Source organism: Homo sapiens, chromosome 12 (assembly GCF_000001405.40).
Source record: "Homo sapiens chromosome 12, GRCh38.p14 Primary Assembly".
Classification (NCBI taxonomy): Eukaryota; Metazoa; Chordata; class Mammalia; order Primates; family Hominidae; genus Homo; species Homo sapiens.
The window spans coordinates 4,003,436-4,026,890 of NC_000012.12; the positions used below are offsets into that span (position 1 = coordinate 4,003,436).

Consider the following 23,455-nt stretch of genomic DNA (forward strand, 5'->3'; position numbering starts at 1 on the left):
GACTACCTTGGGCTGGAAGGCAGGGTGCCTGGGTTCTATTCAGGGTTGATGGCCCCATAAGACAAGAGGGACACTATCCTACCTAAGATGCCCTTCTGGGGAACAGGGTGGTACCTATTCAATGGGGTATATGGAAGCTCTCCAGGTATCTACCCTTCAGATGAATTCTCCCTTCCACAAACAAGATGACCACCTCCTGTCTTCAGACAAGTAAATTATTCTTATTGCCATTTCACAGGTGAGGCTGTTAAGGCCCAACTATGAGGACGGGGTACAATTTCCCATTCCGTCTATATATTCTCGCACAGCTAATACAACCTCCCTAAAGGGGACACTGGGACCACTGCCAAGTCCAGCACTAGTGCTGGATCTGCAATGTTGAATTCTCCTTTTTTCTGAAAAGTCCAGAGTCAGAGGTTTAACCTTTAAGGAGAGTTAACCTTCTTCATTATCAAGCAGAGTCACCGTTCCCCTCCTCCTCCTCCTTCTCCTTTTCTTCTTCTTCTTCTTCCTGAAAATGCTTTTCTTTAAAAATGAAATATTCTACCACAGGCCTGAAGTCTTCTATCCTTTCCCCATGTCCTGCTCCCCACTCTTCTCCCCAAAGGCAACACCATTGCCAATTTGGAGTGTGTCTTCCTGGTTCCCATCCACACAGCCACCCATGGGTGTGCGTGAAGGGTCCTCTTTTCCCTACAAGGTGATGGGTCTGGAGAAATGGTTTTTTTGGTTTTGTTTTGTTTTGTTTTTTTGAGATGGAGTCTCACACTGTTGCCCAGGCTGGAGCACAGTGGCACGATCTCGGCTCACTGCAAGCTCTGCCTCCCAGGTTCACGCCATTCTCCTGCCTCAGCCTCCCATGTAGCTGGGACTGCAGGCACCCGCCACCACACCTGGCTAATTTTTTTTTTTTTTGTATTTTTAGTAGAGGCGGGGTTTCACCGTGTTAGCCAGGGTGGTCTTGATCTCCTGACCTCGTGATCTGTCCACCTTGGCCTCCCAAAGTGCTGGGATTACAGGCGTGAGCCACCACGCCCAGCCAAGAAATGGTTTTGATGGCACACTCTTTGCACCAGATATAGACAGTTTTTTCCCTCTTCCTTTCTCTCCTCAAAGAATCCTCTAACAACGGGTTCACTGCAATCCTTACTCTACTCTAATTGCGTTCTCTCTTTCACCATCCTCTGCACACCCCAAACAAAGGGGTCCTGGGAGAGACAGCCCTGGTGAGGAGAATAAGCAGGCAACAGTCCAGTGGCTGGGGAGGAAGCCTTTCCCGGGCAGTGGCAGAGAACCACAGAGGACTGAGCTCTTGCAAAATAATCTCCAGGGACCAGGCTTCATGGGAATGCTCCCAGCTGGCTTTGGAGACATTATCCCAGGCTGGAGAAGGACCGAACAACCCTTCTTTCCAGACAGGCAATATCAGATGTGGAAAAGTGAATTTGCTTGAGGACATTCTTACTTCTATACCAGTTAGGATCTTGCCAGACTCTGCAGAGAAACTGCCTGCTATGGAACCTGGTATGATTGAGCCTCTCTTTTGGTTTTAGGAAAATAAGGTGAAAGAGATCATTAATGGTTAGCATTAGCATGCCCGGGTTCTGCTCTTCTCGCACAGTTAGACCTTAATTAAGAACTTCCTGTCTTGTATTGTCTCCATATGAAACAGGAATGGGGAATAGATATTATTCTTCCCCTGAGATTTATAAGTTTATGTATTTATTCATGTATTTATTTATTTGTTTAAAAGATGGGGTCTCCTTTTTTCACTCAGGCTAGAGTGCAGTGGTGCAATATTGGCTCACTGCAACCTCAACCTCCCAGGCTCAAAGGATCTTCTCACCTCAGCCTCCTGAGTAGCTGGGACCACAGGTGGCACCACCACATCCGGCTAAGTTTTGCTTTTTTCATAGAGATGGGGCTTCACCATGTTGCCCAGGCTGGTCTCAAACTCCTGAGCTCAGGCAGTCCACCTGCCTGAGGCTCCCAAAGTGCTGGGATTACAGGTGTGAGCCACCACGCCCAGCCAAGATTTCTACGTTTAAAAGATTCATATTCTAGAAGGAAAGAGCTAGAAATTAAAGTAGCAGCACACAATGGAAAAAGCCTCACATTCAAATCCTGACTCTTCTACTTACTAACTGTCCTCCCGGGGCAGGTTTGTTTACATCTCCAGGTCTCACTTCCTTTCCTATTTTAAACTAGTATCTTCCAAAGTTATTCCGAGGAATGAATGAAATAACACTTACAAAAGGAGCTAGTTTGGTACTTCTTACATCATGGGCATTTAGTAAATAGTGATTTCATAACCTGTTTTGTTTTGTTTTCTTTTTTTTTTTTTTTTTGAGATGGAGTCTCACTCTGTGGCCCAGGCTGGAGTGCAGTTGCGAGATCATGGCTCACTGCAACCTCTGCCTCCTGGGCTCAAGCGATTCTCCTGCCTCAGGCTCCCGAGTAGCTGGGACTATAGGCGTGCACCACCACGCCTGAATAATTTTTTGTATTTTTAGTAGAGGTGGGGTTTTGCCATGTTGGCCGAGCTGGTCTCGAATTCTTGACCTCAGGTGATCCACCCGCCTCGGCCTCCTAAAGTGCTGGGATTACAGGCGTGAGCCACCATGCCCGGCCACCTGTTTTGTTTTCTTTGAGAGAGGCATTGTCTTCCTCCAATTCGTTTAATCCAGTGGACGTCATGCACTGAGAAAAAAATGGAATTATTTCTCCACTCCGAGTCTATGAACTGCCAAAACCCCAATCTCAATGACAGGTTCAAGATACTAAAAAACGTTTATAACAATGGTTCATTGAGAAAGCACTGAAAATGAAATGGACAGCTGAGGTAATTTTCCAGATAATCCCCACCCCAAATCGGGTAATGCCTGGCCTGATTGATCAGGACAGTTGCCTCAGGTCTCTGCTCCATCTTGCCCTCTGCAGCCTAGTTGTTTCATAAATACTTTGCTTAATTAAAAAATATATATATATATATAATGTTGATTCATTATGTATTTTAGACTGTATCAGGTAGCTCAAAGATTCTCTCTCTGAAGAACAGGAAATGGTTGTGTCTGTTACTCAAATGCTAATTTGTAATAGAAGTCCCAAACAATAATCATAATATCATCACTAACAATTGTCTTTGCAAAAGCCAAAAATGTAGCCCTGTCTATTGCCTTGTTTGTTTTTACTGTGTTTCTAATGAAGGGCCCAGGGGCGTATATGAGTACTACCAATTTGCAAGGAGAAAAGTGAAGGTCACCAGAGTGGTCCATGGACACACAGCGAAGCTATGTTCAAATGTGAACCACGATTCAAAGCTCCAGATCCCCCAAGAACCACTCTCAAGTGTGTTTAAAGAAGTTTAGAGTCGTCTCCTCTTCCTTCAGGGTGGGTCCAGCCTCAGGAGAGCCAGCTCATACCCTGACCCCGGTATAAGTTCAGGAATGCTGGAGGACCACACTTGCCCCCTCTCTACCCGCTTCAGCCAAAAGAATTCCTCCCACTTAGATACCTGAAGTGATTCACTCCTTGGAGGGCTCCCAATCACAGGTCCAAAGATGATCTGGGGCTGGTTGCATCAAACCCACTGAGTCAGCCTTGGGTGGAACCCAGGGATTCATATTTATTAAAAGCTGCCCAGGTGACACACAGCTAGATTTTAGAACCATGGCTTTAGAACTGAGCCTTGCCTTCCCAGCTATCCTAATTTGAAAATGCAGGACTCCTAGGAGGAATAAGCCGTGAACTGGACAGAACATAAATGTAAAATTTCCCTAGTCTTGAGAGACGGCTGTCCGTAAAAGTGCTCCCTGATCAAATCTGTTCAGCCATGCTAATTACACTTTTTGCCTTCTTGGAGATCCACCGTTCATATCAGCATAGTAAAAGCTCTTATAATTCTTAATAAAACCTGGTTGGCAGAGCATTTCCAAAACATATTTGATATAGAAACTTTTCCCCCTAACATTTGTTAATATTCCATAGGACACACTTTGAGGAGTGCTGACATTGTGTAAACCATTTTAACACCTTTTCCTCTGGGTAACCTGGAAAAGTAAGAGACACGGAAGCAGGAAAAGTGTGAAAAGGTTAAACAATATTACCAAGAAAAAGCATTCTTGTGTTTGTTTTGTTTTGAGATGGAATCTCTGTTGTTCAGGTTGGAGTGCAGTGACATGATCTCGGCTCACTGCAACCTCTGCTTCCCTAGTTCAAGTGATTCTCCTACCTTAGCCTCCCGAGTAGCTGGGATTACAGGCACGCGCCACCACACCCGGCTAATTGTTTGTATTTTCAGTAGAGATGGGTTTCACCATGTTGGCCAGGCTGGTCTTGAACTCCTGACCTCAGATGATCCACCCACCTTGGCCTCCCAAAATGCTGGGATTACAGGCATGAGCCACCGCACCCAGCCAAAAGCATTCTGTTTTATAGTTGCACTTGGGAACAGCTCAATTTTTTTTTTTTTTTTTGAGACGGAATCTCACTCTGTCACCCAGGCTGGAGTGCAGTGGTGCGATCTCGGCTCACTGCAACCTCCGCTTCCTGAGTTCAAGCAATTCTCTGCCTCAGCCTCCAGAGTAGCTGGGATTACAGGTGCCCACCATCATATCCGGCTAATTTTTGTATTTTTAGTAGAGACAGGGTTTCACCATCTTGGCCAGGCTGGTCTTGAACTCCTGACCTCATGATCCACCCACCTCGGCCTCCCAAAGTGCTGGGATTACAGGCATGAGCCACTGCACCCGGCTGGGAACAGCTCAATTTTAAGGTTTTATGCGATACTGTGTAGAAAAATCCCACTGATGTGAATGCAAACTTTATATATTTTCCTGATAAAGTGAGTCTTTACACATCAAAATTATTTCTGTTAGAAAAGTAATATGCAATTTTAAGTGGCTTTAGAGTTTACAAAGTCCTCAATATGTTGATATAATTCTTGTAGGTATTAAAATGAGTATTAATAGTTTTATTTTATGACAAGAATACCGACATTCAGTAAGCTTAAACAACTCATTTGAGAACTGAAAGGGGCTCAAAAACAAGCTAGTCCAATGACTCCTAAGCCTAACTCAGAAAATTCAGTGCCCTTGTTAACATCATAGGTTCCTAGAAATTCTGCTTCTGTAGGTCTTGGGAAGGCACAGGAACCTATCCATTTTTTTTTTCCTTTTTTGAGACAGGGTCTCACTCTGTTGCCCAGGCTGGAGTGCATTCCCATTGCAGCTCACTGCAGCCTCAACCTCTCAGGCTCAGGTGATCCTCCTACCTACCCAGTCACCCAAGTAGCTAGGCCTACAGGCATGCATCACCATGTCTGGCTAATTTTTGTATTTTTAGTAAAGATGGGGTTTTGCCAAGTTGCCCAGGCTGGTCTTGAACTCCTGAACTCAGGCAATCCACCTGCCTTGGAGTCCCAAAGTGCTGGAATTACAGGCCTGAGCCACTGTGCCTGGCTGGAACCTATCCTTTTAATTAACCAGGTGACTCTGATACTGCCTGTCAGTAGACCTACCTTTGGGTCTAATCCTCTCTTTTTCCATTGAGAAACCTAAGGCCCAGAAAGTTAAACTGAAGGACCTGAAATCACAGAGCCAGGACTCACAGATCTTTCTCATTCTAAGTGTACTTCTATAGCCCCTGAATCCTTAATGCCTCACATTGGAGCCAGGAAAGTCATGATAGCTCACGGAGGTCCATGGAAAATATTCAGTTAGCACATCTGGAGGTAAGACATAAAGGTACTTGAAGAGTCAGCTAATCTTTACAAACTGTCGGAGCCACATCTGTCCAATATTCCTACGACAACATCAGGAGATGGATCAAATCATTTTCCTATATGAACAAAGTAAAATTCTCACATTTGACATGTAATTATTTTCCTTCAAAAGCTGACTTGGTCTCTCAAAATCTGCCTCCACGCTTAAACCTTTCAGAAATCCCTCCTAGAATCCTCCAGCCCAACTCCTAACTCTTCCTTTGATCTCACCCCTCTTCAGCAGCTGTGCATCCAGTTGCCCTTGATGTGTTTTTGCTGACAGGTTGACCGTAAATGTTTCTGAGACCTGTTCATAAGGTCAGAGGCCATAAGAACTTGTGGAGTCTCCAGCCTTCTCTACAGGTAAAATTATGTCTTTTCATTACTGTGGATTGGCCCGCACTGGGTCTATACAATGTTAATAAATGTGGTCGGCCAGGCGTGGTGGCTCATGCCTGTAATCCCAGCACTTTGGGAGGCTGAGGCAGGCGGATCACTTAAGGTCAGGAGTCTGGGACAAGCCTGGTCAAAATGGCAAAACCCCGTCTCTACTAAAAACACAAAAATTAGCCAGGCGTGGTGGCAGGTATCTGCAATCCCAGCTACTCAGGAGGCTGAGGCAGGAGAATCACCTGAACCTGGGAGGCAGAGGTTGCAGTGAGCCGAGATTGTGCCACTGCACTCCAGCCTGGGCGACAGAGTGAGACTGAATCTCAAAACGACAACAAAAACAACAACAACAAACAATATTAATAAATGTTGTCAGCTGTACAGAAAAAACTCTGGCTGAGAGACGGGAACCCTAGATCAGATCCCTGCTCTGCCACTAACTCACTGGTTGCCTTCAGGCAGGTAATTTCAACACTTTGTGCTTCAATGTCCTCATCAATAATTGAGTGAATAAGACTAGATCAATATTTCCCAAGACATGTTCCAAAGGACGGTTGCTAAGGAGGTTGATGGTTGTTGTAAGAAAACAGCACTCTGTGGTTAAGGCGGCTGGTGCAGGACATCTCAGAGCCTCTAATGTGCATTCTGAATCTCCAGTGGGGGCTTGGCCGACACAGAACCCTTTTTTAGGAGGTACCGCATTAGGTTAATGTTCTACAAAACTCACTTGGCCAGAGGCTGGCAAGAATGAGCTCCAGGGTCGCTTACAGGATAAAGAGATGTGAATAGCAGAGTAAGCACTGGACAGGAGCTGGGAGACGGGTTCAAAACTCTTCCACTTACAAACTGTATGATGGTAGTAAGCACATCAACCTGCCTGAGCCTCAGTTTCCTCATTGTACCTCACAGGATTGTGGTGAAGGTAATGCACAAATGCCAAACGCATGCTTTGAATAAAATAAGTGCTTAACTTCTATCAGAACTTGGCTATCTTGCTATCTGGCATTCAATTTTATCAATAGCTTTATCAACAGCTCCATTGGATTTCCTTCTGAAACAGCTCTATGCATCCACCCCTAAACTATATACACTTTTTTTTTTTTTTTTTTTTTTTTTTTTGAGACAGAGTCTCGCTCTGTCACCCAGGCAGGCTGGAGTGCAATGGCACGATCTCGGCTCACTGCAACCTCCACCTTCCAAGTTCAAGCGATTGTGCTGCCTCAGCCTCCTGAGTAGCTGGAACTACAGGCGCCTGCCACCACGCCTGGCTAATTTTTGTATTTTTAGTAGAGACCGGGTTTCACCGTGTTAGCCAGGATGGTCTTGATCTCCCGACCTCATGATCCACCTGCCTCAGCCTCCCAAAGTGCTGTGATTACAAGCGTGAGCCACTGTGCCCAGCCAACTATATACTTTTTTTTTTTTTTTTTTTTTTTTTTTAGACAGAGTCTCACTCTGTCGCCCAGGCTGGAGTGCAGTGGCGCAATCTTGACTCACTGCAAGCTCCGCCTCCCGGATTCACGCCATTCTCCTGCCTCAGCCTCCCAAGTAGCTGGGACTAAAGGTGCCCACGACCAAGCCCGGCTAATTTTTTTTTTTTTTTTTTTGAGACGGAGTTTTGCTCTTATTGCCCAGGCTAGAGTGCAGTGGTGCAATCTCGGCTCACTGCAACCTCCGGCTTCCAGTTTCAAGCGATTCTCCTGCCTCAGCCTCCCAAGTAGCTGGGATTACAGGCACCCACCACCACGCCCAGCTAATTTTTTTGTATTTTTAGTAGAGACAGGGTTTCACTGTGTTAGCCAGGATGGTCTCAATCTCCTGACCTTGTGATCTGCCTGCCTCAGCCTCCCAAAATGCTGGGATTGCAGTCGTGAGCCACCGCGCCTGGCCATACATTTTAAGAAGAGTTCTGCAAACAGCCCCGACCATTCTCTCAACCTGCCCGAGAGCTTTGAGCTCCCTTTCCTTCACCCATTCTCTAGCAGGAAGGTATTATATAACCAGACCTGAAGTTTAACACAGCCAGGTATGTGACTGAACTTCAGGCTTGAGAGTTTGTGCACCACAGCCCTAGAGCTCCTCCAACAGAGGTGGGTACCGTGGGAAGTTTGCTGGGAAGACTCCGGTCAGCTGATGAGTGGTTTTAGGCAGTGAGTGGAACAGACTGTTTCCAACACACAGCGGAGCCCACTCAAGCCTCAGGAATGTTATAACCTTTCCTCACCGGAAGTCAGGTGTTTGTCTAGCTTGACCCAGGTCAAGGCGTGCTTGGACTGAATAGAGCCAGTCTTTTCCCCCAGCTGAGCCTATCTGTTTTGACCCAGTCAGGGCCAGGAGTCACAGGAGATACAGGCTGGAGGTTAATAATAGTGGTAGAAGGTAGATTTCTTGTGCAATTTGCATTCAATGAAGAGCCAGAAAAAGTGACTTGATTAATAGGATATCAACATGGGTCGTGGGGAGCCAATACCCCAGTACTTTGGATAGAAAGCCTATGGTTCTGAACTGAAGGATTCTGATGCTTTCTTCATCAAACAGTGAGCAATGCCAGGCACAATTCTAAGGGCCTTACATGTGTTAAGTCCTTCAATCCTCACTATTCTGTGAGGTAGGTTCTGTTATTATCCTTCTTTGTATAAGCACAGAGAGGTTAACTAACTTGGTTAAATTTCCATGCCTATTTAGTGATGACTTTGCTGAATTCAGGTTCTAGAACCTGTGATGCTATCCACCTTACTAGACTGCTTCTTTAAAGTTAAATAAGGGCCTCACTCTGAAGTCACTAATTGAGCTGTGAAAAGCAGTTTCATTCAAGCTAGTATTTCATAAAGCAAGGCAGAATGACTTTGCAAAGAACACAGGCCAAGAAACCAGAAATTGGGACCCAAGCATGGCCACCCACCTGAATTCCACTCAGATCAATGCTCCTCTGGTTGTTTGACTTCCCGGACTTCCCTCCCCTAAGGGCACAGAGCTCTCACCAAACCTGAGATTTCACACACAAGCGGCCTGCTTAGCAGGTACCATCTCCACCAAAACACACATTTGAAGAGCTGTAACCTCAGCTCCATCTTCCTGGTATCCTTCCTCCTTAACCTTAGAAGGTACAAAGAGGAGGGCCAGGCACAATGGCTCATGCTGGTAATCCCAGCACTTTGGGAGGCCAAGGTGGGCAGATCCCTTGAGTCCAGGAGTTCGAGACCAGCCTGGGCACATGGTGAAAACCCATCTCTATAAAAAATACAGAAATTAGCTGGGTGCGGTGGCACATGGCTGTAGTCCCAGCTACTTGGCAGGTAGCTGAAGTGGGAGGATCACTTGAGCCTGGGAGGTTGAGGCTGCGGTGAGCCAAGATTGAGCCACTGCACTCCAGCCTGGGTGACAAAGAAAGACCCTGTCGAAGAAGAAGAAGCAGCAGCAGCAGAAAAAGAAGAAGAAGAAGAAGCAGAAGAAGCAGAAGAAGAAGCAGAAGAAGAAGAAGCAGAAGAAGAAGAAGAAGAAACAAAGGGGAGGATGCAACTTGGAGAGGTGAGAGTCCAGTTCATTGAGTCAACAATTATTTTATAAGTGCCTCCTGCAGGACTGGCACTGCTGGGCACTCAAGGGACCAAGATTAGTCAGATCAAGATAGTTCCCTTTAGCAGCTCCCAGACTATAAGAGAGAAAAGACCTATACAATCATGGGAATATGAAAGACAAGGTATTCAGTGCTCCATGAGGCACAAGAAAGCTCTATAGGACTTGGGAGAGGAGTAGCTGGCTGGAGGAATCACAGAAGGCTTCCTGGAGGAAGTGGCTTTGAGCTTCTGCCATCTCCATGCAGCTACTCCAAGCTCCAGAGCCAGCCACGGAGCACTCCTGGAACTCTTTGCAGGATCCATCTCGAAGTTCTGACTCCCAGCAGAGAAACAACACTGGTAGGCTGAACTGGCCCAGGGCCCTGCCAGCCGCTTTCTCCCTCCACTTATTCCAACGAAACTGTCAGATTTTCCTGAATGCAGTTTTTGCTTTAAAGTGGCAAGGGTTGGGGAGTTGGGGGTGGGGTGGGGATAGCTTCACAAGTTAATCCACTAATGTTTCACCTGCTTCTTCTCTGTGTTGCCAGGCCCAGCCCCTAGGAGAAAGCCTAACTGCAGTAAAGGAGTCCTGGAGACAGGACAAGAATGAAGTCAATGAAGCATAGCAGGAGTGGAGATAAAGGTGCTTTCTTGGGCCTCACTGCCCTGGGGTGACTTATCCAGTTAATTTTTTTCCCTCCTCCTCTCTCTTTCTCCCCCTTACTCTGCTGACTCTAAAGGCCCTGGGAAGATGTGTGATCATGTTTATATGAGACTGTCTTAGGAGATTGCCAGAAGGCCTATTTCTCTAGTTGTACTTGCCTTCTTGTGCTCCTGTAAGAAGACACAGAGATAGAGGATTATGTTGCCCTATGACTCAGATGGAGGGGTAAGGGGCAGAGGCAGAGGCAGACAAGGTGAGAGGCATAGCAAAGACCACACAGCAAGCTGCTACCCACATCCCTAAGAAGTATCCGAACCCCCAGAAGTTCTAATAAACATTATTCCCATTGCTGATAGTTAATTTTTCCCAATCATTCATCCATTTCTCCATTCCATAGAAATTTATTGAACATCTATTATAGATGCGACAAAATAAAAGTCTGGGTGTGGTGGCTCATGCCTATAATCCCAGCACTTTGAGAGGCCCAGATGGAAGAATCCCTTGAGCCCAGGAGCTTGAGTCCAGCCTGGGCAAACTAGGCAAGACCCCATCTCTACAAAAAAATTAAAAGTTAAGTTTTGTCAATGGCCATAGCTTATTCTCAAATATTAATCTCCCTAAAAACTGTAACACACAAAAAGGGAAAGTCTTGATACATTTTTAGGTTTAATTCCATTTGTTTCAGGGGATGGTTTGCATGTGCCTCGTTCAACTGCTTACAACGCTGTGAAATTCCATAATCATTGAATTGATTTATTCTCAGAGAACAGATGTCCACATATATTTGCTGCCATTAGCAATGTATTTATTCATTTATTCATTCATTCACTTGGAAAACATTGTCCAAATACTTCATGCTACTGAGTGTATTCTGGTGGGGAGAGCAGAGTTAGTGATGGGGAGGTGGACACACAGGTGGCCCCAAAACACAGAATTAATGCCCCTTCATTGTCTAGCACTTGCTATCTGCATCTTGTTGGAGTTCCTCTCAAGCCCTATGAGGTAGTGCTATGGGCCTTTTTGTACAGAGGGGAAAACGTGGAGACTCAGAGAGTTTAGGTAACTGTACCAGGGCCCCATAGCTGCAAGCAAGAAGCAGACACACCCTAATAGATTCCCACACAAAGCAGGCACGTGAACTCTGCTGAAGGAAGAAGAGGAGGAATCAACGACCTATGCTCATCTGCTGGACGTCTCTCTAAGAGCACGGACCCCTGCCTATGGACCAGGGGCAACCATTCAAGGCCTTTACAGAGTTAGGAATGAAGTTATCTGATCCAAGGCAGGAAGATAAGGATGTTGTAACCGTTCACTATGGTGTGCTCCTTTCAAAGGCTTCTTCATCATCCCTGGAGGGGGATTGTACGAACTCTCAGGGTTGGGAGAGGAAGGGGGCAGCTAGAGAGACTGCAGCTTGGTGGGTGAAATGGAAGCAGGGATTGCATGCACCACAGCTCGCTTCTTTGTAACCAAGGCAGAATGGAAGAGGAAGGCCTTTGGAATAACTTTCCTAAATAAGCCAACAGGCCATTTAGGCGAAGGTGGGGGTCGGGGGACACAATGTGACTCCAGTGGGTGGCCGTAGCAGAGGTGACAAAGAGGAAACGGCCCCCTGGCCTTGGCCCCAGGCTTCAGGATGAATGAGGCCTCTCCCAGCGACCTGAAGGTCACCCCAGGGCATGTCCCAAGACCTTGTACAGACAAGGCTTCTGATTACTCATTAGCCAGCCTGGGGACTGGCCTCCATGTTGCTGTCCTTGGCCATAAACAGATGAAAGCCCCAGCCGCCAGCTCAGGGCAGGCGGGCCTGATAGTCTAGTAGCTATCTCAGCCCCTGGAATTATCAAAGCCTGGAGCAGCCCAGACAGAGGAGGGAGGCTGGGCTTTCAAACACTTCTGTGCCCTTCACAACTCCTCCTCCCCTCTTACCCCTCACCCAAACAAACAGAAGGAAAAAAAAATCCCATCATACTAGACAGGATTTTAACAGATGGCTTCCAGGGCAAAGATTGCCTGAACCAGCTTCGGCAAGGACATGCCAAGATATGCTGATGAGAGGGAAGGAATCCTTCTGAAACCCCTGGAATGGACTGTTCTATCCTTGCTTCAAGGCTGAGAAAAAAGGCATCTTGGATGCAGATTCAGGGTGGGGCCAAGACACCCGAAGGCCTCGGTCCTGCTCAATCTCTGCCTTCTCACCTCCCCCCTTCTTTAGAGGGCCGTGGGTAGGTACCCATATGGGCATGCCTTCTGTTGCTTCTCCAAGCCTCTCCCACTCAGCCCTCTCTGACTGAGATTTGAAGTCTAGAAAGCAGCAAGTCCTTCCCTCCACCTTGTCTGAGAAAATCCAGTTATCCACTCCAAGTCTCTACTCCCCTACCATGAACCTGGCCCTGGGACCAACCCCACAACCAGGCAGCTCTCTTGACCCTGGGTCTTTGTCCGCTGTCCATAAATCAAAGTGGTAGGTTGATATTCTGTAGAGAGAAATGGAAACAGAACCAGAAAGTCCTGCTATTCAGAGCCTCCAGAGCTCTATCTTGACCAATACCTAACAGTAATAAAACACCAACATGGCAAAACAGCCACGGCAGCAGCCCAGATAGAAACAGGAAATCTTCATTCATTCCATTTTCTCAGCATTTGGAACACATTTAGAATGACTATAACGTGGTAGTTGTCAAATGGATCCAAAGACCTGGTCCCTGATCTCAAGAAGTTCCTAAACTTGGGGAAGAATAATGTAAATAAACAATAACATCAGGAGCTACCATTTATTGAGTACCTACGATGTGCGGTTTCACACAGCAATGACGCGGCATGGCACTATCATCCCCCTTTTACAAAACAGGCCACTGAAACTCAAAGAGTACAAGGCCAGGTGAGAGTCTGGGAGTCATACCTAACCTGGTGGGTGTGACTCAGGTAGGGAGGCTTGTTAAAAAATTATTCAATGACACTTATGAAAACTTTATTCAGGACCATCGAGACAGGGGTAGGGACCATGGCAATGGAATTTTGCAGTGGGCAGGGAGCGGGGAGAGGTTGGGCTCAATTCTGATGCAGCAATGTATAGCCAAGGAGCAGGGTGGGGGTCAGTGGTGGAAAATTACTAAGAGGAAACATAAGGGGATTCCAGCTGAACAACTTAGCAGGATTCACACTGAAGATGGGCCAGGGTGATGAGATGTCACCTGGGGCCTGGTGGAGGAGGAGGAGCCTAATCAGATATTGAAGGGTGGGGTGGTGGGGAGGTTCTTGCTAAACTGACTTTGCAAGGCTCTTGCTAAAATTAGATTTTACAAGGAAGTGCACAGATGGGCCTTGAAGAACGTTCGGGAACCTGCCTCAAGTTTGGTCCAGCAAGGACTCCATCAGGAGAAGACATATTTAACACTGTCAGCCACTTGGGAATTTTTCTTCTCACTCGGTGTCCCAAGCTGCTTCTCCCCTTACCTGTCCCGTTGTGTCTTTTCTGCCTGCTTTGTTTCTTGCCTTCCCCCTTTTCCCCTTGAGTCTAGATTGGATCCCCACCTCTCTTTTCTTCTGCTACCCATTGAATCCATTCCTAGGGCTTTCTTCATCATCTTTTTACTTGCAATTTCCAAGCCTGTATCTGCAGCTCCCACCTCACTCCATGCTCCAGATCCCCATTTCCATCTCCAGTAACTTCAGATACCTAAAACCACCTTGCCATTCTCAGGCTACTTTGTTCAGTATCTCTTTGCCCCTTGCTTGAACCATTTTATTTTATTTTTTTATTTTTTGATACAGAGTCTTGCTCTGTCGCCCAGGCTGGAGTGCAGTGGCGCGACCTCAGCTCACTGCAACCTCTACTGCCCGAGTTTCAGCAATTCTCCTGCCTCAGCCTCCTGAGTAGCTGGGACTACAGGCATGCGCCATCACACCTGGCTAATTTTTTGTATTTTTAGTAGAGACGGGGTTTCAGCACGTTGGCCAGGCTGGTCTTGAACTCCTGACCTCAAATGATCTGCCTGCCTTGGCCTCCCAAAGTGCTTTGCGGACAAAGACCCAGGGTCAAGAGAACAGCCTGGTTGTGGGGTTGGTCCCAACGTGCCCAGCCCAGCCGTGTGGACCATTTTAATGGCTTGAATCTCCTCTGTCATTTTAGTTTCTTCCTATTCCAGGTTACCTTACATGTGTCATCTTGATTTCTCTTCCTAAATATCTCTTTTCTTACAGGACGACCATACTCAAAATATCTTCAGTGGTCCCCTAATGCCTATAGAGTTGTGCCTAGATACAGGCACAGCTCTCTACATTCTGGTGCCAACCTGTCCTCTCCTCTTCTCAGACCCTATACCCCAGGGCCACTCACTATTTCCCCAGTGCATGTCAGTGCTTTTGTGCCCCATGCCCTCTTCAGACTTCTGCCCCTGCCCCTTCAGGATACTGTTAAAACAGGTGTCTTTTATGGATCCAGTCTTGATTCCCATGGCCAGATGTGGGCTCTTCCTACCTGAACTGCCATAGCACTTTGTTGTTTCATGTCCTTGGGTATTAGAGTTTGGTCTCACCTTGCAGTGTGGTGCCAGGTCAGGAGCTTAAGTAGTGAAGTTGGAATGGGTTTGAATTCTGGCTCAGCAACTTTCTAACAGTGTGACCACAGGCTCTTTAATGTGAGCCTTTTTCTACCATCTGTAAAACGGGCAAAAGGATATAAGCTTGCTGGGAAAGTTTGAAGTAATACATGTAAAAGCACCCTACACGAGTGACAGGCCTCTGAGCCCAAGCCAAGCCATCGCATCCCCTGTGACTTGCACGTATACGCCCAGATGGCCTGAAGTAACTGAAGAATCACAAAAGAAGTGAATATGCCCTGCCCCACCTTAACTGATGACATTCCACCACAAAAGAAGTATAAATGGTCGGTCCTTGCCTTAACTGATGACATTACCTTGTGAAAGTCCTTTTCCCGGCTCATCCTGGCTCAAAAAGCACCCCCACCGAGCACCTTGCGACCCCCACTCCTGCCCGCCAGAGAACAAACCCCCTTTGACTGTAATTTTCCTTTACCTACCCGAATCCTATAAAACGGCCCCACCCTTATCTCCCTTCGCTGACTCTCTTTTCGGACTCAGCCCGCCTGCACCCAGGTGAAATACACAGCCATGTTGCTCACACGAAGCCTGTTTGTTGGTCTCTTCACACAGACGCGCATGAAATTTGGTGCTGTGACTCGGATTGGGGGACCTCCCTTGGGAGATCAATCCCCTGTACTCCTGTTCTTTGCTCCGTGAGAAAGATCCACCTATGATCTCAGGTCCTCAGACCGACCAGCCCAAGGAACATCTCACCAATTTTAAATCAGGTAAGCGGCCTCTTCTTACTCTCTTCTCCAACCTCTCTCACTGTCCCTCAACCACTTTCTCCTTTCCACTCTTCAATCTCTCCCTTCTCTTAATTTCAATTCCTTTCATTTTCTGGTAGAGACAAAGGAGACACGTTTTATCCGTGGACCCAAAACTCCGGCGCCAGTCACGGACTGGGAAGGCAGCCTTCCCTTGGTGTTTAATCAGTGCAGGGACGCCTCTCTGATTATACACCCACGTTTCAAGGGTGTCAGACCACGCAGGGACGCCTGCCTTGGTCCTTCAACCTCAGCGGCAAGTCCCGCTTTTCTGGGGTAGGGGCAAGTAGCTCAACCCCTTCTCTCCTTGTCTCTACCCCTTCTCTGCTTTTCTGGGAGAGGGGCAAGTACCCCTCAACCCCTTCTCCTTCACCCTTAGCGGCAAGTCCCGCTTTCCTAGGGGGCAAGAAGCCCCCAATAGCTTATTTCCGCACCCCAACCTCTTATCTCTGTGCCCCAATCCCTTATTTCCGCACCCTGACCTCTTATCTCTGTGCCCCAATCCCTTATTTCCGTGCCCCAACTCCTTCTCTGCTTTTCTGGAGGGCAAGAACCCCCCACCCCTTCTCCGTGTCTCTACTCTTCTCTGGGCTTGCCTCCTTCACTATGGGTAAGCTTCCACCTTCCATTCCTCCTTCTTCTCCCTTAGCCTGTGTTCTCAAAAACTTAAAACCTCTTCAACTCACACCTGACCTAAAACCTAAATGCCTTATTTTCTTCTGCAATGCCGCTTGACCCCAATACAAACTCGACAGTAGTTCCAAATAGCCAGAAAATGGCACTTTGAATTTTTCCATCCTGCAAAATCTAAATAATTCTTGTCATAAAATAGGCAAACGATCTGAGGTGCCTGACGTCCAGGCATTCTTTTACACATCAGTCCCGTCCTAGTCTCTGTGCCCAGTGCAACTCGTCCCAAATCTTCCTTCTTTCCCTCCCGCCTGTCCCCTCAGTACCAACCCCAAGCGTCGCTGAATCTTTCTAATCTTCCTTTTCTACAGACCCACCTGACCTCTCCCTTCCTCCCAGGCTGCTCCTCGCCAGGCCGAGCTAGGTCCCAATTCTTCCTCAGCCTCTGCTCCTCCACCCTATAATCCTTTTATCACCTCCCCTCCTCACACCTGGTCCGGCTTACAGTTTCGTTCCGTGACTAGCCCTCCCCCACCTGCCCAGCAATTTACTCTTAAAAAGGTGGCTGGAGCTAAAGGCATAGTCAAGGTTAATGCTCCTTTCTCTTTATCCCAAATCAGAAGCGTTTAGGCTCTTTTTCATCAAATATAAAAATCCAGCCCAGTTCATGGCTCGTTCGGCAGCAACCCTGAGACACTTTACAGCCCTAGACCCTAAAAGGTCAAAAGGCCGTCTTATTCTCAAAATACATTTTATTACCCAATCTGCTCCCAACATTAAATAAAACTCCAAAAATTAAATTCCGGCCCTCAAACCCCACAACAGGATTTAATTAACCTCGCCTTCAAGGTGTACCATAATAGAAAAAAGTTGCAATTCCTTGCCTCCACTGTGAGACAAACCCCAGCCACATCTCCAGCACACAAGAACTTCCAAACGCCTGAACCGCAGCGGCCAGGTGTTCCCCCAGAACCTCCTCCCCCAGGAGCTTGCTACACGTGCCGGAAATCTGGCCACTGGGCCAAGGAATGCCCGCAGCCCGGGATTCCTCCTAAGCCGCGTCCCATCTGTGCGGGACCCCACTGGAAATCGGACTGTTCGACTCACCTGGCAGCCACTCCCAGAGCCCCTGGAACTCTGGCCCAAGGCTCTCTGACTGACTCCTTCCCAGATCTTCTCGGCTTAGCGGCTGAAGACTGACGCTGCCCGATCGCCTCAGAAGCCCCCTAGACCATCACCGACGCTGAGCTTCGGGTAACTCTCACAGTGGAAGGTAAGCCCGTCCCCTTCTTAATCAATACGGAGGCTGAGTAGCCTCCACATTACCCTCTTTTCAAGGGCCTGTTTCCCTTGCCTCCATAACTGTTGTGGGTATTGACGGCCAGGCTTCTAAACCTCTTAAAACTCCCCAACTCTGGTGCCAACTTAGACAATACTCTTTTAAGCACTCCTTTTTAGTTATCCCCACCTGCCCAGTTCCCTTATTAGGCTGAGACACTTTAACTAAATTATCTGCTTCCCTGACTATTCCTGGACTACAGCTGTATCTCATTGCCGCCCTTCCTCCCAATCCAAAGCCTCCTTTGCGTCCTCCTCTTGTATCCCCCCACCTTAACCCACAAGTATAAGATACCTCTACTCCCTCCTTGGCGACCGATCATGCACCCCTTACCATCTCATTAAAACCTAATCACTCTTACCCCACTCAACTTAAAGTGCCAATATCCCATCCCGCAGCATGCTTTAAAAAGATTAAAGCCTGTTATCACTCGCGTGCTACAGCATGGCGTTTTAAAGCCTACAAACTCTCCTTACAATTCCCCCATTTTACCTGTCCTAAAACCAGACAAGCCTTACAAGTTAGTTCAGGATCTGCGCCTTATCAACCACATTGTTTTGTTGCCTATCCACCCCATGGTGCCAAACCCATATACTCTCCTATCCTCAATACCTGCCTCTACAACCCATTATTCTGTTCTGGATCTCAAACATGCTTTCTTTACTATTCCTTTGCACCCGTCATCCCAGCCTCTCTTCGCTTTCACTTGGACTGACCCTGACACCCATCAAGCTCAGCAAATTACCTAGGCTGTACAGCCGCAAAGCTTCACAGACAGCCCCCATTACTTGAATCAAGCCCAAATTTCTTTTTCATCTGTTACCTATCTCGGCATAATTCTCATAAAAGCACACGTGCTCTCCCTGCCAATCGTGTCCGACTGATCTCTCAAACCCAAGCACCTTCTACAAAACAACTCCTTTCCTTCCTAGGCATGGTTAGCTCAGTCAGAATTCTCACACAAGAGCCAGGACCACACCCTGTAGCCTTTCTGTCCAAACAACTTGACCTTACTGTTTTAGCCTAGCCCTCATGTCTGCGTGCAGTGGCTGCCGCTGCTTTAATACTTTTAGAGGCCCTCAAAATAGGTAGAGGCCTTTCCTGCAGGGTCTGAGAAGGCCACCGCAGTCATTTCTTCCATTCTGTCAGACATAATTCCTCAGTTTAGCCTTCCCACCTCAATACAGTCTGATAACAGACGAGCCTTTATTAGTCAAATCAGCCAAGCAGTTTTTCAGGCTCTTAGTATTCAGTGAAAGCTTTATATCCCTTACGGTCCTCCGTCTTCAAGAAAAGTAGAATGGACTAAAGGTCTTTTAAAAACACACCTCACCAAGCTCAGCCACCAACTTAAAAAGGACTGGACAATACTTTTACCACTTTCCCTTCTCAGAATTCAGGCCTATCCTCAGAATGCTACAGGGTACAGCCCATTTAAGCTCCTGTATAGACGCTCCTTTTTATTAGGCCCCAGTCTCATTCCAGACACCAGACCAACTTAGACTGTGCCTCAAAGAAAAAAAAAAATTGTCATCCCTACTATTTTCTGTCTGGTCATACTCCTATTCACCGTTCTCAACTACTCATACATGCCCTGCTCTTGTTTACACTGCCAGTTTACACTGTTTTTCCAAGCCATCACAGCTGATATCTCCTGGTGCTATCCCCAAACTGCCACTCTTAACTCTTGAAGTAAATAAATCATCTTTGCTGGCAGGACTATGCTGAATCTCCTTAGGCACTCTCTAATCAGACATCCTGAGTCGTCCCAATTCTTAGACCTTTTATACCTGTTTTTCTCCTTCTGTTATTCCATTTAGTTTTTCAATTCATACAAAACCGTATCCAGGCCATCACCAATCATTCTATATGACAAATGTTTCTTCTAACATCCCCACAATCTCACCCCTTACCACAAGACCTCCCTTCAGCTTAATCTCTCCCACTCTAGGTTCCCACGCCGCCCCTAATCCCGCTTGAAGCAGCCCTGAGAAACATCGCCCATTCTCTCTCCATACCACCCCCCAAAAATGTTCGCTGCCCCAACACTTCAACACTATTTTGTTTTATTTTTCTTATTAATATAAGAAGGCAGGAATGTCAGGCCTCTGAGCCCAAGCCAAGCCATCGCATCCCCTGTGACTTGCACGTACACGCCCAGATGGCCTGAAGTAACTGAAGAATCACAAAAGTGAATATGCCCTGCCCCACCTTAACTGATGACATTCCACCACAAAAGAAGTGTAAATGGCCGGTCCTTGCCTTAACTGATGACATTACCTTGTGAAAGTCCTTTTCCCGGCTCATCCTGGCTCAAAAAGCACCCCCACTGAGCACCTTGCGACCCCCCACTCCTGCCCGCCAGAGAACAAACCCCCTTTGACTGTAATTTTCCTTTACCTACCCGAATCCTATAAAACGGCCCCACCCTTATCTCCCTTCGCGGACTCTCTTTTCGGACTCAGCCCGCCTGCACCCAGGTGAAATACACAGCCATGTTGCTCACACAAAGCCTGTTTGGTGGTCTCTTCACACGGACGCACATGAAAACGAGCAAGTGATAGTAGGCAGTAATTATAAATACTATGATGCGGCCGGGCACGGCGGCTCATGCCTGTAATCCCAGCACTTTGGGAGGCCGAGGCAGGCGGATCACCTGAGGTCGGGACTTCAAGACCAGTTTGACAGACATAGAGAAACCCCATCTCTACTAAAAATATAAAATTAGCCAGGCAGGGTGGTACATGCCTGTAATCCCAGCTACTAGGGAGGCTGAGGCAGGAGAATCACTTGAACCTGGGAGGCGGAGGTTGCGGTGAGCCGAGATTGTGCCATTGCACTCCAGTCTGGGCAATAAGGGCGAAACTCCATCTCAAAACAAACAAACAAACAAACAAAAAAAGCAAAAAAACTCATGCAATTATTTATTCCTCACTAGAACATAAATTCCTTGAGATTTGGGCTGACCAGCTTTTATTAATTTTTGCATCCATCCCAGTCATTAGCACAGCACCAGGAATACAGAACTCTTTCAAGCAGTGTTAGTTAAATGCTGACTGAGAAGGAGGAATTGCGATTTTCTTGTGTCTCCTTCGCCACTTGTTTTGTCAGTCTGACCCACTGCCTCCCTGCGGTCAGAGCCTCCACAGTCTCTATCCTGGCCCTTTGCAACTGCCTGCCTCTGATTCTGCACACCACAGTGCTGCAGTATCTATGGGCATGCCATATGTATAAGATGTTATTTAGGGACTTGCCTGAAAGAACTCAGTCGGGTCAGGCGTGGTGGCTCACGCCTGTAATCCCAGCACTTTGGGAGGACACGGAGGGAGGATCACCTGAGGTGGGGAGTTTGAGACCAGCCTGACCAACATGGAGAAACCCCATTTCTACTAAAAATATAAAATTAGCCCGGTGTGGTGGCGCGTGCCTGTAATCCCAGCTATTCAGGAGGCTGAGGCAGGAGAATCGCTTGAACCTGGGAGGCGGAGGTTGCGGTGAGCTGAGATCACGCCATTGCACTCCAGCCTGGGCGACAAGAGCCAAACTCCATCGGAAAAAAAAAAAGGAGAAGAATTCAGTTGTAGGTGCAAATGAATGCTGAGAGCTTCTCAATGGAATAGGCATTGTAAATCACTCTGAAGTTGGGATGAAACACTACGAAATCCTGCCATGCAAATCGCAATACCCTAAACCTCTGTCAAAGTGGCCCTGAAACCCCTGGAGACCTGGCAGGAGGTTCCTTTCTGTTGCCTGGCACTTAGCCGTTCTGAGTCTGGCTAAACACCAGCAACCCGGAGGCATATAAAAACTGAAAGCCCCAACCCCAGGCCCTAGATGAGAATGCAGTCTCGCCCCTTGGCACTTTCTCCATCCCATAAAGCAGAGTGAAATCCTATACGTGGGAAAATGTGGGGCAATTGGCTAAGGTGGCCTCGTTACCCCACCCATCCTTCTTGCTTACTTCTGGTGGCTTATCCTAGAATCAAGGCCCGAGATTGTCCATAACTCAGGTGGACGTCCGAGCCAGGGGTGACCACAGAGAGCCCCAATCTCCGGCCTTTGCAGCTGTGCTGGGGAATGCTCCAGGCCAAGGCCCTTGAGCCTGGGAGGGGAGAGCACTGGTTGCAGATGCGAGCTTGCAGGAAGCTTTGATGTTCCGAGCAGGATTGGGAGGCGTGGGAAGTGAGACTTCTGTTCCCTTGAGCTCCCATGAAGCGAAGCCTTTCCGTTATCTTATAACCCGCAGCATAGCCTAAAGGTGCTGGCTAAAGTCTGCCTTGGCCCAGAATACATCAGGCCAGAACCAAAGAAATCAAATCAAAGTGGAAAATTAGACACTGTGCAGGGGAAAGCTCTCCTCTCCAAAATATATATGCATCAAACTGTACCCCCGTCTAGCTGGGACAGGAGCCATCAAAATGCAAATGTGGGTTTTGGGAATGCTAATGTTGGAAGTGGAGAACAATACTGAGACAGACTTCTTGGGGCCAGGGAGAGGGCCCCAGGGCAGGATGTGGGAGCCGAGTTGGGGGCAGGGATGAAAGGGGCAAAGGAAACTGAGAGAGAGACTGGAGATGAGAGAACAGCAGGAGTCGATTGAGGTTGAAAGGCTGCTGGGGCAGGACTAGGAAAGGGGAGCGCTGAGAGACCGGTCAGAGGACCTGACCGCTGACCGCTGACCCGAGGCTGCGTGCCCAGGAAAGAGGAGGGGGAGTTCAGGGAAACTTCTCTGAGTGGCAGCCCAGCGGGGAGGAGAGTCAGGACGTGCCTGGACTCTCAGGCCTGGGCTTAAGGTCAAGGCCTGGAGAAACAGACAGAAAGATGTGTGTTTCCGTAAGAGCAGGGAAGCCAGGAGGTGTGCTCCGCTTTTGTGCTACTGGCATGTGAGCGAGAGGCCTTGAAGGAAGGGCTTGAGACCCGGGAGCCAGACTGAAGCCAGGGTTGGGTTCAAGGGGGTCTCACTGAGAGCCGCTTCCCTGGGTTTAATTTTGCTCTTCCTGGGAGGACTGAATACGTCAAAGCAGAGCCTGGCACGGCGTCAATGCTTTATGGATGTTTGTTGTTATCTTTGTAGATGAAGAAACTGGGGCTCTGAATGGCATATTAACGCGTGCAGCTCCAGACAGCGAGGAAGTGATGGCAACTCTATCCGAACTCAAATCTGCCAGACCTATACCAGTAGGTGCCTGTGTGCAGTTGGGGACTCACCTCTGCCAGTGCTGGCATGAGCTAGCTGTCTTGAACTGAAAACAGACACTCAAAGATGGGCTGTGGGATCCCAGAGAGGTGGCAGAATGGTCAAAGCTATGAAGCCAACAGCTGCTGCCAACAAGAAAGTCCTGAGCCCTGAGTGATTGTAATTTAAACTTAATGCTGGGAGTGGGTGTTTATTTTGGAGGAGTGGGCTGCTTATTTTTGGTTTGGGGACTTGTTCATTCATCTTTTCTCAGCGGCGCCTACTGCTGCCCTGGCCCGAAGTTAAAGCTCAATAAATCACTGTTGCACAACTGAGTGCCCACGCCTAGATTGTAAGTTCCTGGAAGGCAAGGATTTGTGTCCCACACTTGTTTTGTACCCTCCAGGATCTTGCACAGCACTTGGCGAATGGGTATTGAATGAATTCATTCACTGAAGCGTCTCTCTGGTGCCAGGCCCAGTGCTAAGTGATGGGAATACACAGATGAATACGATATGGTCCCTGCTCTTGGGTAACTCATTATTCTGGTAAATGAATAAAGGAAAG

The 23,455-nt window shown here is 47.7% G+C and overlaps 1 long non-coding RNA gene across 3 annotated transcripts, besides 6 other annotated features; it reads left to right on the plus strand.

Moving 5' to 3' along the window:
* The first annotated feature begins 8,473 nt into the window (after window positions 1-8,473).
* LINC03141 (long intergenic non-protein coding RNA 3141) lies at window positions 8,474-23,223 on the plus strand. Of its 3 annotated transcripts, XR_931568.3 has the most exons (5): window positions 9,585-9,679; window positions 9,975-10,068; window positions 10,257-10,351; window positions 15,547-17,646; window positions 22,787-23,223. It is a non-coding gene; the product is annotated as a long intergenic non-protein coding RNA 3141 (long non-coding RNA). The 3 variants fall into 3 exon arrangements; XR_007063171.1 differs by lacking the exon at window positions 9,975-10,068 and having other exon boundaries at window positions 8,474-9,679; XR_007063170.1 differs by lacking the exon at window positions 9,975-10,068 and having other exon boundaries at window positions 8,474-9,679; window positions 15,547-15,704.
* Window positions 14,862-15,459: an enhancer, noted in NCBI's record as "NANOG-H3K27ac-H3K4me1 hESC enhancer chr12:4127463-4128060 (GRCh37/hg19 assembly coordinates)". NCBI's record gives its function as "activates a minimal SCP1, AML or CMV promoter by ChIP-STARR-seq in primed H9 embryonic stem cells {active_cell/tissue: H9 hESC(primed)}" and the evidence as "EXISTENCE:reporter gene assay evidence [ECO:0000049][PMID:30033119]".
* Window positions 15,460-16,055: an enhancer, noted in NCBI's record as "NANOG-H3K27ac-H3K4me1 hESC enhancer chr12:4128061-4128656 (GRCh37/hg19 assembly coordinates)". NCBI's record gives its function as "activates a minimal SCP1, AML or CMV promoter by ChIP-STARR-seq in naive H9 embryonic stem cells {active_cell/tissue: H9 hESC(naive)}" and the evidence as "EXISTENCE:reporter gene assay evidence [ECO:0000049][PMID:30033119]".
* Window positions 19,638-20,235: an enhancer, noted in NCBI's record as "OCT4-NANOG-H3K27ac-H3K4me1 hESC enhancer chr12:4132239-4132836 (GRCh37/hg19 assembly coordinates)". NCBI's record gives its function as "activates a minimal SCP1, AML or CMV promoter by ChIP-STARR-seq in naive and primed H9 embryonic stem cells {active_cell/tissue: H9 hESC(naive and primed)}" and the evidence as "EXISTENCE:reporter gene assay evidence [ECO:0000049][PMID:30033119]".
* Window positions 20,236-20,831: an enhancer, noted in NCBI's record as "NANOG-H3K27ac-H3K4me1 hESC enhancer chr12:4132837-4133432 (GRCh37/hg19 assembly coordinates)". NCBI's record gives its function as "activates a minimal SCP1, AML or CMV promoter by ChIP-STARR-seq in primed H9 embryonic stem cells {active_cell/tissue: H9 hESC(primed)}" and the evidence as "EXISTENCE:reporter gene assay evidence [ECO:0000049][PMID:30033119]".
* Window positions 21,430-22,025: an enhancer, noted in NCBI's record as "OCT4-NANOG-H3K27ac-H3K4me1 hESC enhancer chr12:4134031-4134626 (GRCh37/hg19 assembly coordinates)". NCBI's record gives its function as "activates a minimal SCP1, AML or CMV promoter by ChIP-STARR-seq in naive H9 embryonic stem cells {active_cell/tissue: H9 hESC(naive)}" and the evidence as "EXISTENCE:reporter gene assay evidence [ECO:0000049][PMID:30033119]".
* Window positions 22,026-22,623: an enhancer, noted in NCBI's record as "OCT4-NANOG-H3K27ac-H3K4me1 hESC enhancer chr12:4134627-4135224 (GRCh37/hg19 assembly coordinates)". NCBI's record gives its function as "activates a minimal SCP1, AML or CMV promoter by ChIP-STARR-seq in naive H9 embryonic stem cells {active_cell/tissue: H9 hESC(naive)}" and the evidence as "EXISTENCE:reporter gene assay evidence [ECO:0000049][PMID:30033119]".
* Window positions 23,224-23,455: the final 232 nt, after the last annotated feature.